Below are 17792 nucleotides of genomic sequence, written 5' to 3' on the forward strand. Positions count from 1 at the left end.
AAGACACTCTGCTTTGCTTTGCTGTATTTCAAAACATTGAGGTGAAGTTGACATTTACATAAAATTAACCACTTAAAGGTCAGCAGTGTGGTGCACGTAACACATTGGCCACACGCACAACCAGCATCTCTGCCTAATTCCAGATATTTTCATCACCCGCCAGAGAACCTTCTGGACCTGTGAGCCGTCATGCCCGCTCTCCCTGTTCCTGCCAGCAGCCCCGAGAGCCGTCCACCTTCTCCCTGCCCAGCGTCTCTGTGGGTTTCCCTGTTCTGGACATTCCAGAGACGGCATCGCAGGACCGGTGCCCTCTGTGTCTGGCGGGTTCACTGGGCATCAGGTTCTCAAGGCTCATCTGAGCGTCGGGGCCTCGCTCCTCTTTGCGGCTGCGTAATGCTCATGGGTGAGCACACCTGGTCTGTTCATCTGGGCTGTCCCCACCTCTGGGCTGCTGCAAACGTTCCGGTGCAAGCACACCCAGGTCCCCGTTTCCCGCTCTCCCGGGTCTACATGCAGATGTGGAGTTGCGGGGTCACGTGGTTCCCGTTTCTAGCTCTCCCAGGTCTACGTGCAGACGTGGAGTTGCGGGGTCACGTGGTCCCCGTTTCTAGCTCTCCCGGGTCTCCGTGCAGACGTGGAGTTGCGGGGTCACGTGGTCGCCGTTTCTAGCTCTCCCGGGTCTACGTGCAGACGTGGAGTTGCGGGGTCATGTGGTCATCCGTCTACACTGAACATTTCGAGGAACCCCCAGACAGTCTCCACGTGGCCACATCATTCTGATGCATGGCAGACGAGCCCGAAAGAGGAGCTTAGTCCCAGAGGGTTCTTGGCTTTGCCCAGGAAAGAATTCAAGGTCGAGCCAGAGGTGGAAGGAAACAGCTTTACTTCAGAGGTGGGGTTACAGCTGTGGCTGCTCCCGCAGGGCAGGGCTTCCACAGACAGCAGCCCGGGGCAGCTCTGCAGTCTCACTTATAGCCACAGTTTTTTTTTTTAAAGACAGAATATTACTCTATTGCCCAGGCTGGAGTGCAGTGGTACGGTCTCAGCTCACTGCAACATCTGCCTCCCGGGTTCAAGCGATTCTTCTGCCTCAGCCTCCCGAGTAGCTGGGACTACAGGTGCCTGCCACGCCAGGCTAATTTTTGTATTTTTGGCACAGACGGGGTTTCACTATGTTGGCCAGGCTGGTCTCAAACTCCTGACTTCAGGTGATCCGCCTGCCTTGGCCTCCCAAAGTGCTGGGATTACAGGTGTGAGCCACTGTACCCGGCCAGAAATGTCAAATTTTGATGAAGTCCAATTTATTTTCTGTGTTGTTGCCGGTGCTGTTGTTGTCATATCCAAGAAAACACTGCCAAATCCAATGTCCTTAAGATTTTCCCAGGTTTTATTCTGAGTCTTACAGTTTTAGCTCTTACATTTAGGTGTTTCATCCTATGTTTTTTGGGTTAATTTTTGTGTATGCTGTTAGGTAAGGGGCCAGCTTCATTCATTATTTTGCATGTGGAGATAAAGCTTTCCCAGTACCATTTGCTGAAAAGGCTGTCCTCTTCCCATTGAATGGTCTCAGAGCCTTTGTCGGAAGGTACCAGGCCACGTGTGGGACAATTTCTTGGGTCATTCTCATCGGAAGGTACCTGGTTGTTCTCGTTGGAAGGTGCCTGGTTGTTCTTGTCGGAAGACACCTGGTTGTCCTCGTTGGAAGGTACCTGGCTGCGTGTGGGACGATTTCTTGGGTCGTTGTTGTCAGAAGGTACCTGGTTGCATGTGTGGAATGATTTCTCGGGTTGTTCTCATCGGAAGGTACCTGGTTGTTCTCATCGGAAGGTACTGGTTGTTCTCGTTGGAAGGTATGTGGCCGTGTGTGGGATGATTTCTCGGGTTGTTCTCATTGGAAGGTACGTGGCTGCATGTGGGACAATTTCTCGGGTCATTTTCGTCGGAAGGTACCTGGTTGTTCTTGTCGGAAGGTACCTGGTCGTTCTCGTTGGACGGTACCTGGCCGCGTGGGGGATGATTTCTGTGGTTGTTGTTGTCAGAAGGTACCTGGTTGCATGTGTGGAATGATTTCTCGGGTTGTTCTTGTCGGAAGGTACCTAGTTCTCGTCGGAAGGTATGTGGCCGTGTGTGGGATGATTTCTCGGGTTGTTGTCATTGGAAGGTACGTGGCTGCGTGTGGGACGATTTCTCGGGCTGTTCTCGTCAGAGGTACCTGGCCGCATGCGTGGGACGATTTCTCAGGTTGTTCTCATTGGAAGGTACCTGGCCACGTGTGTGGGACGATTTATTGGGTTGTTCTCGTCGGATGGTACTTGGCCACATGTGGGACGATTTCTCTGGCCGTTCTCGTCAGAAGGTACCTAGCCGTGTGTAGGACGATTTCTCGGGTTCTTGTCGGACGGTACCTGGCCGCATGTGGGATGATTTCTCGGGTTGTTCTCATCGGACAGTACCTGGCCGTGTGTGTGGGACGATTTCTCGTGTTGTTCTCATTGGGCGGTACCTGGCCGCATGTGGGACGATTTCTCGGGTGGTTACTGTGCCCCGTTTATCTCTAGGTCTCCATGCTGCTGTGATACTGTTTTGACGAGGGAGCTTTCTTTTCTGCCACTGTGGGCCAGCTGCTGCCGTCTGTGGTATTCTTGTGTGTTGCTGATCTGAAGCTCCAAAGCTGCCATTCTCCCAAACCTTCCTGCTCAGATGAGGACCTGGGCAGTCTGAGACCTCCAAGCTGCAGTGAGAATGGCTGAGGGCCTGACCCAGCCAGGGAGGCTGCTCTGGGGACTCCAGGGTGCCTCTCCCTTCCCCCAGGCCCACAGTTGACCCAGCAGACCCACACTGAGGGCCTGGTGCGGGACTGGGGCAGCTTAGTGTCAGGGCGCAGAGCAGGCCCTGGAGAGCCAGGGGGTTGCCGTGTGGGCGCTGGCACTGGTTGCTAGTGTAAAGGCCCCACGGCCCTGACCACACAGGGACCCCAGACGTTTGGGGGAGATGGGCTCAGTGTGGTGAGGCCTTGGGACTATCTGCCAAAGACAGATGAGGTGAGGGGAACCCAGCCTTGGAAGGGTCAGGTGTGACAGACTCTGGGTCTGCAGAGGGTGCAGGCTCCACTCCAGCCGAGGCTGTCACAACCCGACCTCAGGTCACCTGTCCGCCCCAGGTGAGTGGACGTCTCTGGGAACCTGGATCCAGAGACTGGACCCCCACCATTAGGGCTCCTCTGCCTGCCAGCTGAGGGGGTCTCCCTGAGCAGGGCTGGACACTCACGGGTCAGAGCCAAGGGCTCCATGGAGTGGGCCCTCGAGGCCCCCAGCTGGGTCCAGGGGCCCCCCTATTTTTGTGACCTTGGTGGGGTACCCAGAGGTGGTAGCAGACCTGCCTTCCACAGTGACAGGCCCCCGAGGCTGGCCGAGATGGGGAGGGCAGATCACACCATGACTCCCACCCCGAGCACCCCTTCAGATGCCCAGGCCTCCGCCCCCAGGGGACTTCCTGACCACAGGCATCGGCCTGACACGTGTCGGGGCCACTGGCCCCATTGCCCCACACCGGCAGGTGGGACCCTCCGTCACACAGAACACAGGCAGCCGGGGGCTGGGCGTCTCGCACAGACTCTGTGGAGAGTTCAGACGTGAGGGAAGAAGCTGACATGCCCGATGGGAGGGCTGAGGCCCGTGATTCCGTTTATATGAAGGGTCCCGAACAGGGACCCACAGAGGCATGAGATGGATTCCCTGGGGCTAGAGGCTCTGTCTGGAAGATGGAAATGGGCTGGATGGAGGGGAGGTGGATGCACGGCCTCGGGAGCGCACTCCACACCACAAACTGTTCGCTTAATGACGGCCCTGGTCCACTTCATGCTGTGTGACTTGACCCCACATGCCCTGTGACCCCACCCCCAGGTCCCCTGGGAAGTCACAGCTGCCATCCCCAACGGAGGATGAGGGTGTCTGCTCCAGGGCTCTTGCAGGCCCTTCCCGTGGTCCCAGGACAGTGCTGCGGAGTCTCTGGGCTGTGGGTCCCATGAACGGGGTGCCCAGTCACTACTGCTGTGGGCTCCTGCCCTGCCCCCCTTGACCAGGACCTGCAGCCCCACTACGGGGTCCCCGGGAGACCAGTGGTGCACAGCTGCCCTGGGACAAGAGGAGCCTGGAGCGGGGTGAAGGAGCCCGGGAGGAGGGGCTGTGGGATTCGGGACCCACTACGGGGAGGACAGCCGCACGGGAGGGTTCCGGGCAGGGGGCATGGAGGGCTGTTGGCTCCTCAGGTCTCCCCCTTGCAGAGGCTGGGCAGGGGCACCCCGTGGCACCAGCCTTTCCCAGGCGATGGGTCCCTCGGGTTCCCACAACTGCCGCTGCCTGAGATGTCCGCCCCTGAGCTGTGCCACAGGGCTGGGCCCCACCAACAGCAGAGTCCCTGGGACAGCCCCCCGGGAAGGGCCGCCCAGGCCCCTGTGGCCGACAGCTCCGCGTGGTCGCTCCGGCAGACTTGCTGGCTCCTGGTGCGTCCCTCTGAGGCCCTGTCTGTCCCTCCACAGACACAGGGCGCCCTGTTTCCCCGGGAGCTGGAACACGGGCCCTCTGTTGGCACCTGGGCTGGCTGTCCCCCCCGGGCAGGCCGAGGGGGGGCTCCACACAGACCCACACTGTGCCTACCGCAGCCGCCCTCCTCGGCCTGAACCACCGTGTTGTCCCCACTGGGGCCCCCCACAGTGGCTCAGCCGTGGGCATCATGGCTCCAGGTGCCGTGGATGGAGGCAGGGGGAAGGGGTGGGTGGGGGAACCGCCCCCCCAGGCTGGGGGAGAGGGGAGGGCCTCTGTCCTATGGTGGGGCCCACTTCTGACTTCTCCCAGGACCCAGCCTCACAGCGTCCTGGGTGGGGGACGTTGCCCCAGAGCTTTGCCTCCTTCCGGCAGGGCTGGCACCCCTGCTCATTCCCATTTACTCCAAGTATTGCCGCAGCAGACACTGGAAGGGTCGCCAGGCAAAGCACCACCCATTCACCTCTCCATCAAGCTCCCGCTCGGTCACCCGCTGCCCCAGCATCAGAGTGTGGGCTGGGGGCACGGCCACCGCCAAGGGGAGGGAGGTACAAGAACTTCTTCATTTAAACAGTGTGTTTTCGAGTAAGCTGGTAAGTGGTATAATAGGAATAGTAGAAGAATATGCCATAGCTATGGCTCAAGAATAGGAATAAGAAAAATGTGCAGTAGACGCTGTTTGTCCGACGATGATGAAAGTGTGCACGGCCGGCTGTCCTCCGATTGAGGGGCCTTGTCAAGGCCTCAGAGGCAGCGAGGTCACAGCCTGGTGGAGGGTCTGGGTGTGCGCTGTGTCCATCTGCACCTCACAGACACCAGTCATGGGGGGATGAAACCGGGCCAAGAACACATGTGTGCACAGGCTGTGTGTGCCTGCATGTGTGGGATGCGTGTAGGCTGTGGCGGGGGTGGAGATGAGGGATAGGACAGAAAATGGCCCATCCAACCCCACATCCTGGCCGGGCGTGTCCAGGTCCCTGTGGGGCGAGGGTTTGGCTGCCCCAGACGTGACAGGGACTTGGCTCTGAGGGTCAGGACCTGGCTGGGAACACACCATTGAAGAGGGAACAGAAACCAGGCCCTGGGACGCTAGAGACCCCAAGAGCTACCTGGCTGGGTCTATGGTCAGGGCTGTAGTGGAGGAAGGTGTCAGGATGGCCATTGTCTCAACTCCTGTGGGCGGCACAGCCCCAGGCTGGGCCTCTGGGAGGAGGGTGGGATGGATGGGAGATCAGAGCCCCTGGCGCCTGGGACAAGGGTTGGCCTGGATGTGGGGCCCCAGGTGGGCAGGGCCTGGGAGCCGCCACAGTATGTGACAACAGACCCCACCCTGGACCCCCGTGCTGGGGGCTGGGTCCCACCGCTCTCCTCTCCACGTCTCTCTTGGCGATGCCCAGCTTGGGCTGGGCGCAGGGAAGGGCAAACGTTGCTGAGCCGCCGAGGGGCTGGGTCTTCGCCTTTATTTCTGGTGCACGTCTAGAGGGGCCCGGGCAGAGGCCACCCACGGTCCCTGAAGTAGGGCCTCAGCTCCTCCAGGCTGAGCGGAGGGAAGTAGGCTCCGATCCTCTTCCGCACCCACCACTTGCCCTCGGCGGCGTGCCTGCCCCCAGGACGGCTGAACTTGTACCTGTAGTGCTCTCCTCGGACCCACCTGCAAGGGGGCACATGTCAGCCCAGGGCCTGCTGGGACTCCCGGCCCCCGACCCGGCTCCTCAGCCTGCTGCTGAGCTGCAGCTGCTCACAGGGTCCCCCACGGACAGAGGGGCTGCATGAGGAGCCCCCACCCTGAGCACAGGTAGACCCCCAGCAGACCCCGGGCAGGGCAACTGTTCCAGTCGGCACCCTCAGCAGTGAACAGCGCAGCAAGGGGGAAGGGCGGACGGGGGGCAGCTCCGGGAGGGGAGACCCAGCAGGGCCCACTTGGCAGAGGGACCGGCCCGGGGAAGGCCAGGAGCTTCACGGGTGGCACTGAGCAAGCCTGAGACCGTTCACAAGGCCCCAGTTTGAGCCCCAAGTGTCCCCCGCCTGGGAAGGTGGGGAGAGGAACCTACTGCTCATGGTGTGGCGTCTCCACCATCAGGCCAGTCCTGGCGCAAGGTGCCTGGGGGTTTCGGTCCACGGGGCAGTCCGAGGCTGTGAGGGAGCCAGGCCGGGACCTGTTTCCTGAGGGCGGAGCCTCTGCTTCCCAGGGCTTCAGGCCCTTCCCTGCCTGAGACGTGCAGATGCTGGCTGGCTGCTCTCCTCTGTCATGCCCGAGTGGGATGAAGGCCCCCACCCCCATCTCCCCTGGAGCAGGGTAGCGGGCAGGTCTCTCTGCTGAGCCCTGTATAAGGTCCCGCCTGACCCCTGGTGACCAGGCCTGGTTTAGGCCATACTGGGTCTTGGTCCCTGGCTGGCAAGCCCTCACTGGACTCTCGGAGGACTGGGCATTTTCTCCTGGGGGTGGGACGAAGCCCCCTCATGTCCAGGGTTGCTCGGCTGCCCCGGAGGAGGAGGCGCCAGGAGGAATTGTCACCGTCACAAGCTCCCGGCCCTCCAGGCCCCTTCGCAGTTGTGCAGCAGGAGCGGAAGCTTCTCAGCCCACAGGGCGGCTGCTGCCTGGCTGGGATCCATGGCAGAGCTGGGCCCCAGCTGCCCGGTGGGTGTGATGGTGCAGCCATAACAGGACCCTCTCATGGCCCCTGGAATGAGCCCAGGCAGGTGCCAGAGGCTTCACACTGCACCAGGGCCCGGTAGCGACTGTCTGGGCTGCTGTCATTATTTGGGGCTTCTGGTGACCTGCACACAGCTGTGCTCTGGGGGCTGGGGGTGGAGACCTTGGGCCATGCCCCTTAGGCTGGCAGGGTGAGGGCCTCTGGGTCCACCCGGCTCCTCCTGGCTTTGAGTCTCTTTGGGTCTGGGTGTGTGATGGATGATGATTCTTCTCTCCCCAAGTCTGAATTACGCCAGGAAAACCGGGAAGACAGAGACCCTCTGGGTGGAGGAGGGTCCCTGAGGCGCCTGATGGGAGAGAGGGATCAGCAGCTCCAAGAGGAGTGGGGTCGGGCCTTTGGAAAACCTCCCGGGCAGCCAAGACTGAGGGTGATGCTGGCAGTTGGTGGCTCCCGTCCACTCCAGGAGGGCACTGCCCACTGCCCTGGGCCCCAGGGGTCTTTCCTGGACCCCTTGGGCCTGAGGCTGCCATGGTTTTCCTTGGCTATAAGGACGGCAGCGGCCAGCATGGGGACTGAGGCCAGGTGGTGCCAGGCAGAGAAGTCACACTGGACCCCGAGGTCGACCTCTGAGCAGCTCAGCAGCAGACTGAAGGGACGGGCTGGAATGCGGCCGTGAGGGCGCTGGGCTGTGCGGGCAGCATGGTCCCTGCACACTCTCCTGGGCCTTGCTAGGGCAATGCAGTCCCCAGGCAGGCCCACCCTCTCCCAAACCCTGCATTTAGTGAGGCCGGGAGGGTGGGGATCCTGGGAAGGCCTCCTGCAGTGGGATTGCCCATCTTTCCCAAATTCCTGCTCTTGCTTTCTGCTCCTTCCCAGGACAGGGTCAAGGCCTAGGGGGCCCAGGGCCTGGTCTCTGACATCAAGAGCTGGAACTGCAGTTTGGAAAGGGTTTTGGAAAGGGTCAGAACCCTCTGTGCCAACTGGCAGGTTGGTGGGAAGGGGCCCCAGGCCCCAGCGGCCTGAAGGGTTGCATTTCATTCCTGCAGACAAAGTACCCGAGAAGGCCATGGCACCGCCCCGGAGGGCTTGAGAGTGTTGAAAATAGGGGATCTCCCAGCCCTTTTGAAATAGACCCTACTGGCAACAGCTGGGCATCTTGCACAGCTATAGTAGGGATTGCAGCCAGGGCCTGACACTGAGGCCACAGACACGGGTCCCATCCACGCCCGGACCCCCGTGTCCTTCCACACCCTCCCCGACCTTCGGCCTCCTTGTGTGATTTCAAGAACGTATGATTTCAAGAATGAGTGGAACCCTGCGGCACGTACCCGCGGGGCAGGCGATTCTCACGCCAATTCTCAGGTTCCGCCAGGTCGTGTGATGGAGGCTTCCTTCCTCCTCGTCGCTGACCGGCGTCTGCGGCGTGAGTGCACCCTAGTTTGTGCGGTCGCTCTCTTGTGGAAGGACAGCTGAGCTCTTTGCAGTTTTTGTCTGTGACGGCTGCCGTAAACCTCTGCACGGGTTTCTGCGTGAACCTGGGTTTCAACTCTCTGGCTTAAACGTCCATGGAAGCAGCTGCTGAGTCCACTGCAACTTCGGGTGTCCTTTTTGAGGAGCCATTTTACCCTCCCAGCAACAGCCGAGTGACTCGATTTCTTGGTATCTTTGCCAGCATGTGGGGTTGTTGCTACTTTTATTCCAGCCGTTTTGATGGGTGTGCAGTGGTGTCACGGGACGGGTGTGAGTGGTGTCTCGGGACGGGTGTGAGTGGTGTCACCGGACGGGTGTGAGTGGTGTCTCGGGACGGGTGTGAGTGGTGTCACGGGACGGGTGTGAGTGGTGTCACGGGACGGGTGTGAGTGGTGTCTCGGGACGGGTGTGAGTGGTGTCACGGGACGGGTGTGAGTGATGTCACGGGACGGGTGTGAGTGGTGTCACGGGACGGGTGTGAGTGGTGTCACGGGACGGGTGTGAGTGGTGTCTCGGGACGGGTGTGCGTGGTGTCTCGGGACGGGTGTGCGTGGTGTCTCGGGACGGGTGTGCAGTGGTGTCTCGGGACGGGTGTGCGTGGTGTCTCGGGATGGGTGTGCGTGGTGTCTCGGGATGGGTGTGAGTGGTGTCTCGGGATGGGTGTGAGTGGTGTCTCGGGATGGGTGTGCGTGGTGTCACGGGATGGGTGTGCAGTGGTGTCTCGGGATGGGTGTGCGTGGTGTCTCGGGATGGGTGTGCGTGGTGTCTCGGGATGGGTGTGCGTGGTGTCTCGGGATGGGTGTGCGTGGTGTCTCGGGATGGGTGTGAGTGGTGTCTCGGGATGGGTGTGAGTGGTGTCTCGGGATGGGTGTGCAGTGGTGTCTCGGGATGGGTGTGAGTGGTGTCTCGGGATGGGTGTGAGTGGTGTCTCGGGATGGGTGTGAGTGGTGTCACGGGATGGGTGTGAGTGGTGTCTCGGGATGGGTGTGCGTGGTGTCACGGGATGGGTGTGAGTGGTGTCTCGGGATGGGTGTGCGTGGTGTCACGGGATGGGTGTGAGTGGTGTCACGGGATGGGTGTGCAGTGGTGTCTCGGGATGGGTGTGCAGTGGTGTCTCGGGATGGGTGTGCAGTGGTGTCTCGGGATGGGTGTGAGTGGTGTCTCGGGACGGGTGTGCAGTGGTGTCTCGGGACGGGTGTGAGTGGTGTCTCGGGACGGGTGTGAGTGGTGTCACGGGACGGGTGTGAGTGGTGTCACGGGACGGGTGTGAGTGGTGACTCGGGACGGGTGTGCAGTGGTGACTCGGGACGGGTGTGCGTGGTGTCTCGGGACGGGTGTGCAGTGGTGTCTCGGGACGGGTGTGCAGTGGTGTCTCGGGACGGGTGTGAGTGGTGTCTCGGGACGGGTGTGAGTGGTGTCTCGGGACGGGTGTGCAGTGGTGTCTCGGGACGGGTGTGCAGTGGTGTCTCGGGACGGGTGTGAGTGGTGTCACGGGACGGGTGTGAGTGGTGTCACGGGACGGGTGTGAGTGGTGTCTCGGGACGGGTGTGAGTGGTGTCTCGGGACGGGTGTGACTGGTGTCACGGGACGGGTGTGCAGTGGTGTCACGGGACGGGTGTGAGTGGTGTCTCGGGACGGGTGTGAGTGGTGTCACGGGACGGGTGTGAGTGGTGTCACGGGACGGGTGTGAGTGGTGTCTCGGGACGGGTGTGCAGTGGTGTCTCGGGACGGGTGTGCAGTGGTGTCACGGGACGGGTGTGCAGTGGTGTCACGGGACGGGTGTGCAGTGGTGTCACGGGACGGGTGTGCAGTGGTGTCACGGGACGCGTGTGCAGTGGTGTCACGGGACGGGTGTGAGTGATGTCACGGGACGGGTGTGAGTGGTGTCACGGGACGGGTGTGAGTGGTGTCTCGGGACGGGTGTGCAGTGATGTCTCGGGACGGGTGTGCACTGATGTCACGGGACGGGTGTGCAGTGGTGTCTCGGGACGGGTGTGAGTGGTGTCTCGGGACGGGTGTGAGTGGTGTCTCGGGACGGGTGTGCAGTGGTGTCACGGGACGGGTGTGCAGTGGTGTCACGGGACGGGTGTGAGTGGTGTCTCGGGACGGGTGTGAGTGGTGTCTCGGGACGGGTGTGCAGTGTTGTCACGGGACGGGTGTGCAGTGGTGTCTCGGGACGGGTGTGCAGTGGTGTCTCGGGATGGGTGTGCAGTGGTGTCTCGGGAGGGGTGTGCAGTGGTGTCTCGGGACGGGTGTGAGTGGTGTCACGGGACGGGTGTGAGTGGTGTCTCGGGACGGGTGTGAGTGGTGTCTCGGGACGGGTGTGCAGTGTTGTCACGGGACGGGTGTGAGTGGTGTCTCGGGACGGGTGTGCAGTGATGTCACGGGACGGGTGTGCAGTGGTGTCTCGGGACGGGTGTGCAGTGGTGTCTCGGGACGGGTGTGCAGTGGTGTCTCGGGACGGGTGTGCGTGGTGTCTCGGGACGGGTGTGCAGTGGTGTCTCGGGACGGGTGTGCAGTGGTGTCTCGGGACGGGTGTGCAGTGGTGTCTCGGGACGGGTGTGCAGTGGTGTCTCGGGATGGGTGTGAGTGGTGTCTCGGGATGGGTGTGCAGTGATGTCACGAGATGGGTGTGAGTGGTGTCTCGGGATGGGTGTGAGTGGTGTCACGGGATGGGTGTGCAGTGGTGTCTCGGGATGGGTGTGAGTGGTGTCTCGGGATGGGTGTGCAGTGGTGTCACGGGATCGGTGTGAGTGGTGTCACGGGATGGGTGTGCAGTGATGGTACCGGATGGGTGTGCAGTGGTGTTATGGTGGTTTTTGCTTCTCTAATGACAGGCATTTCTCCTGAGCTTATCTGTCATCTGTGCACCTTCTTTGGTGAAACGTCTCTGTGCTCATTTTCTAATAAGATTATTTTAGTATTAAGTTATGAAACTTCTTTACATATTCCAGATTTTAGACTATTGTCAGATACGTGACTTGCAAATATTTTCTGTCTGTAGCTTAAAAATTATCTTTGTTCTCTTAACAGGTCTTTTTATGGAGCAAATGCTTTTAATTTTAATGAATTTCAATTAATTTTTCCTTTCACAGATCATCTTTAAGTATAATGACTCTGCCTGGCCCTAGATCCCAAAGATTTTCTTCTATTTTTTCCTGAAAGTTTTTTTTTTTTTGAGATGGGCTCTCGCTCTGTTGCCCAGGCTGGAGTGTGGTGGTGTGATCTCGGCTCACTGCAACCTCTGCCTCCCAGGCTCAAGTGATCCTCCCACCTCAGCCTCCCGAGTAGCTGGGACTACAGGCATGTGCCACCAGGCCCTGCTAATTTTTTGTGTTTTTAGTAGAGACGGGGTTTTGCCACGTTGCTCAGGCTGGTCTCAAACTCCTGAGGTCAAGCAATCTGCCCACCTTGGCCTCCCAAAGTGCTGGGATTACAGATGTGGGCCACCATGCCTGGCCCTGAAAGTTGATTGTCTTATGCTTTACGTTGAAGTCCAGGATCCGTTTTGAGTTATTTTTGTGTGGGGTGAGACGTGGGTCGAAGATTTTGTTTTTGTCCATGGAATTGCTTTTGCGCTTTTGTAAAAAAAACTCATCCGGGCATGTTTGTTTGGGTCTCTTTGTGGGTTCTCTGTTGTGTTCCATGGAATTGCATGTCTGTCCCTCTGTCAATACTACACTGTGTTGACTACTGTAGTTCTGTGTCTTGAAACTGGGTAGATTGATTCGTTCCACCTTGTTCTCTTTCAAAATGGTTTTAGCTATTTTTGCTCCTTTACATTTCCATAGAAAACTTGGGATGACTTGTCCTTACCTATTAACACATCTTGCTGGGTTTTTTTTTTAATAGGAATTGCATTAAACCTGTCCATCAATCTGGAAGGACCTGTCATCTCCACGTTGTTGTATCTTCCAACCCACGAACGCGGCCGTGTCTCTAGGTGTGTGCTGACGTCTTTCAGCAGCATTGCTGAGTTTTCAGCATGTAAGTTCTGTGCATGTTTTGTCAGGTTTATACCTAAGTATTTCGCTTTTTGGAGTGGTTTTAAGTGGTTCTGCGTATTTAATTTAGGTGTCTGTGTGTTCATTGCTAGCGTACAGGAATACTATTGAATCATTTAGGTTGATCTTGTGTCTTCTGACTTTGCTGAACTCACTTATTAATTTTCTTTCTTTTTTTTTTTTTTTTTTTTTGAGATGGAGTTTCACTCTGTCGCCCAGGCTGGAGTGCAGTGACGCAATCTCAGCTCACTGTAACCTCTGCCTCCCCGGTACAAGCAATTCTCCTACCTCAGCCTCCTGAGTAGCTGGGATTACAGGCATGCGTCACCACACCTGGCTAATTTGAATTTTTTTTTAGTAGAGACAGGGTTTCTCTATGTTAGGCTGGTCTTGAACTCCCGACCTCAGGTGACTGGCCTGCCTTGGCCTCCCACAGTGCTGGGATTGCAGGTGTGAGCCGCTGCGCCCGGCCTCGCTTCATAATTCTAGGAGTGTTTTTGGTGGATACCTTGGGATTTCCTACAAAGACAACGGCGTCATCTGTAAACAGGCAGTTTCGTTTCTTCCTTTGTGATCGACACGCCTTTTCTTTCCTTGTCCTGCGTACTGCAGTGCCCAGCGCTTCCAGCACCATGCCGGATCCGATGGTTAGAGCAGACGTCCTTTCTTGTTCCGGATCTGAATGGTGAAGGGTGATTCCTTGCCCTCGAGGAGAATGCTGGCTGCAGGGCTTGTACAGATGCTCTTTATCCAGCGGAGGAAGTTCCTCTCCTTCTCTGTTTTTCCAAGTTTAAATCATGAATAGATGTTAAACTTGTCACGGGCCTTCCCAACACTGACAGATGTGATCGTGTGAGTTATCTTCGGTAGCTGGTAACGTGTGGATCTCATCGACTGATTCTCAAATACGGAACCAACCTTCATCCCTGGAATAATCCCTACTTGGTCATGGCATAGAATTCTTTGTTATATATTGGCAAATTCTATTTAGTAATTTTTTTTTTTTTTTTGAGGCAGAGTCTCACTCTGTTGCCGAGGCTGGAGTGCAGTGGCACCATCTCTGCTTACTGCAACCTCCACCTGCCGAGTAGTTGGGATTATAGGCAGCCACCACCATGCCCAGCTAATTTTTGTATTTTTAGCAAAGATGGGGTTTCACCATGTTGGCCAGGCTGGTCTTGAACTCCTGACCTCAGGTGATCTGCTCGCCTCGGCCTCCCAAAGTGTTGGGATTACAAGTGTGAGCCATTGTGCCCAGTCTATTTAGTAATATTTTGTTAAAAAATTTTGTGTCTATATCACTGAGGGATATTGGCTTGTAATATTATTTTCTTGTATTATCTTTGTGTGGTTTTGGTATCAGAGAACCACTAGCTTCATAAAATAAATTGAGGCTGGGTACAGTGGCTCATGCTTGTAATCCCAGCACTTTGGGAGGCTGAGGTGGGAGGACTGCCTGAGCCCAGGAGTTTGGGACCAGCCAGGGCACCATGGCAAGATCCTGTCTCTACAAAAACTAAAAAAATTAGTGAGGCGTGGTGGTGTGGGCCTGTGGTCCCAGCTACCTGGGAGGCTGAGGCGGGAGGATAATTTGAGCTGAGGAGGTCGAGGCTACAGTGAGCCATGTTTGTGCCATTGCACTCCAGCCTGGGTGACAGAGAGTGAGAACCTGTCTCAAAAAATAAATAAATAAATAAATAAAACGTAAATTGATGCTTTTCCTTCTCTTCTATTTTCTGGGAAATTAATCTTAGAATTCTCCAGTGAAACCATCTGAGCCTGGATATTTCTTTTTGGAGTTTAAAATGACAAATTCAATTTCTAGTTATAGGGCTATTTAAATTATTATTTCATACCAGGTGAGTTGTGGTAGTTTGTGTTTTTTGAGGAATTGGTCTATTTCATCCAAGTTATAAAATTTATGTATGTAGATGTTTGTCGTAGTCGCTTATTATCCTTTTCAGATTGCAGGGTCTGTAGTGATATCTCTTTTTCGTTTCGAGACAGAATCTTGTGGTGTCGCCCAGGCTGGAGTGCAGTGCTGCAGTCTCGGCTCGAGCAATTCTCGTGTTTCAGCCTCCCAAGTAGCTGGGACTACAGGCACCTGCCACCACGCCCAGCCAAGTTTTTGTATTTTTAGTAGAGACCGGGTTTCACCATGTTGGCCATGCTGGTCTTGAATTCCTGAGTTCAGGTGATCCACCCGCCTTGGCCTCCCAAAGTGCGGTGATTTCAGGCATGAGCCACCACACCCAACCTCTTTTTTCATCTTTGATATTGGCAATCGTATCTTCTCCTTTTGTTATTCTTACTAGAGGGTTGCTGATTTTATTGGTCTTTTAAAAGAACCATCTCTTTGTTTCAATAAGTTTCTCTATTGTTTGTTTTCAGTTTCATTTTCTGCTTTTTACTATTTTCTTACTGCTCCTTGCTTTAAATTTTTTCCTAGTTATTCATGTGATCTTGAGCTAGATTATTATTATTTTTTAAGCGATGGGGTCTTCCTGTGCTGCCTGATGCCAAGAGGCTGGCGTTAACGTCCTGGGTTCACACAGTCCTCCCACCTCAGCCTCCTGAGTAGCTGGGACTACAGGTGCTTCCACGGCATCCAGCTGATGTCAGATTATTGATTTGAGATCCTTCCTCTTTCTAAAATCTCAGGTCTCTTTTCTAATGTATGCATTTGGTGCTTTCTCTCTCATCACTAGTTTAACTACATCCCAGAAAATGTGACATGTCATTCAGTGCAATGGGTGGCATATTCTATAAACATCATTAGGCCCTGCCTGTCGATGATGGTGCTCCTTTATGTTCTTGCTGAATTTCCATCTAGTTATTCTACCTATTGTTGAAAGAAGGGTGTTGAAACATCCAGCCGTAATTGTTGATTTGTCGAGCTCTCCTTTCAGTTCTTTTTCTTCACATGTTTTGCAGATCTGTGCTTAGTGCACACACTTAGGATTGCTACATCTGTTTGGCAGGTTGATTCTTTTCTCATTGTCCGTCTTTGTCTCCAATAATTTTTGCACTGAGGTCTACTTTGAGGTTAATACAATGAATCCTTTATTTTCATTAATAGTCACATATTTTTTTCTATCCTTTTACTTTCAACCTGCCTATACAGAGGGTCCCTAACTTATGAGAGTTCCACTGACAGTTTTTCAGCTTTACAATGGTGCGAGGGATACGCACTCGGTAGGAACCGCACTGTGAGTGCCCAGACAACTATCCTGTTTTCACTTCCATACAGTATTCAGTAAATGACATATTCAACACTGTATTACAAAACAGGCCTGTGCTAGGTGATTTTGCCCAGTGTAGTCTAATGTAAGTGTTCTGAGCACGTTTAAGGTAGTAGGCTAGGCTGAGCTACGACGGATGTTTGGTAGGTGTATTAAACTCATTTTTGACTTACATTTTCAACTTATGCTGCATTTATCAGGGCATAAGCTCATTATGCATATATTTAAGTTACTATCTTTTTTTTTTTTTTTTGAGATAGGGTCTTGTGTCGCACAGGCTGGAGTGCAGTGGCATGTCTTGGGTCACTGTAGCCTCAGCTTCCCGAGTAGCTGGGATTACAGGCATGCACCACCATGCCTGGCTAATTGTTGTATTTTTAGTAAAGAGGGTTTTGCCATGATGGCCAGGCTGATTTTGAACTCCTGACTTCAAGTGATACACCTGCCTCAGCTCCCAAAGTGCTGACATTACAGGAGTGAGCCACTGCACCTGGCCAATCTTTATCTCTTAATTGGCTTATTTAGACCATTTACATTGAATATACAGTCGGTCATTTTACTTCTTCCCATCTGTTCTGTTTCTGATTTCTTTGTTTTTCCCAACCTGCTTTCCTATGGGTTATGTAAGTGTTTTAGAATTCCATTTTGATTTGTCAATAGTGTGTTCCAATGTATCTCTTAGTATAGGTTGTTTTTTACTGGCTGTTCTTGGCACGTAACTTACAGTCTACTGATGTCATTTTACCACTTCAAGTTAAGCATAGAAACCTCACCTCTATGTCCATTTGCCCTCATCCATTTATAGTTATCTTAACTACTTCCTCTACATAAACTTTGAACTACTTCAGACAGTTTTATAGCCTTTGCTTAACCATCCAACATGATTGGAACTCAAGAGAAGGAACGTCTATTGTATTTACCCATGTCTTTTCTTTTTTCTTTTGAGATTGAGTCTCGCTCTGTTGCCCAGGCTGGAGGGCAACGGTGTGATCTCGGCTCACTGCAACCTCTGCCTCCCAGGTTCAAGCAATTCTCCTGCTCAGCTTCCTGAGTAGCTGGGATTACAGGCGTGTGGCACCATACTCGCTCATTTTTTATTTTTGTAGAGACGAGACTTCACCATGTTGGCCAGGCTGGCAATGTTTTATTATCTCTGGTTTTTAGAAATTTGACTTTGATGTGTTTAGGTTTGAATTTCTTTGGGTTTTTCCTATTTAGGGTTTGCTCAGTTTATTGACTCGGTAGGTTTGTCCGTTTTGCCAAATTTGGGAAGTTTTCAGTTCTTATTTCTCCAAGTACATTTTCAGCCCTAAAGCTCACTCTGTCTTCCTCCTAGGACTCTGATGACATGAATTCTGGATCTTCTGTTACAGTCTCAGTCCCACAGATCCCTGGGGCTCTTGCTGTTTTTCCCCGTCTATGTCCTCTCACTTGTTCCCACTGGGTACTTTCTATGTTTAAGTTTATTGATTCTTTCCTCTGTCCTCACCATTCAGATGTCGAGTGTTTTGTGTCAGTTATATTTTTCACTTCTAAACTTTTCATTTGGTTCTTTAAAAAACCGATTTCTTTGCTGAGGCTGTATTTTTTATCAGTTGTGTTCATAATTACTGCATGCGTTTTCGACGGCTGCATTCACATCTCTGTGAAGTCACTCTAATACCTCCCTCATCTTGGTGCTATCATCTGTCGACTGTCCTTTTTCACCAATGTCTTCCTGTTTCCTGCTGTGACAAGTAATTTTTCCACTGAAAACTGAACATTTTGTGTATTAGGAGATTTTGGATCTTATTTAAACCTTCTGCTTTAGATGACTTCTTCTGACCTCATGCTGGTAGAGACAGGGGTATTACCTTGCTCCTGCCAGGTTGGGGTAGAACT

The 17792-nt window shown here is 54.6% G+C and overlaps 1 protein-coding gene across 7 annotated transcripts in view; it reads right to left on the reverse strand.

Moving 5' to 3' along the window:
• The window catches only part of LMF1 (lipase maturation factor 1), a 127980-nt gene continuing 115307 nt past the window's right edge, over positions 5120-17792 (reverse strand). For 6 of the 7 annotated variants that reach the window (NM_001352019.2, NM_001352017.2, NM_001352018.2 and 3 more), the window contains one exon: positions 5120-6192. In NM_001352019.2, coding sequence (NP_001338948.1) covers positions 6018-6192 — 175 coding nt within the window. In that variant the 3' untranslated portion in view covers positions 5120-6017. Of the gene's footprint in view, positions 6193-6592; positions 6751-17792 lie in introns of all 7 variants that reach the window. The other variant, NR_147885.2, reaches the window with a different exon arrangement.

The sequence above is a fragment of the Homo sapiens genome, chromosome 16 (genome assembly GCF_000001405.40).
Source record: "Homo sapiens chromosome 16, GRCh38.p14 Primary Assembly".
Lineage (NCBI taxonomy): Eukaryota > Metazoa > Chordata > Mammalia > Primates > Hominidae > Homo > Homo sapiens.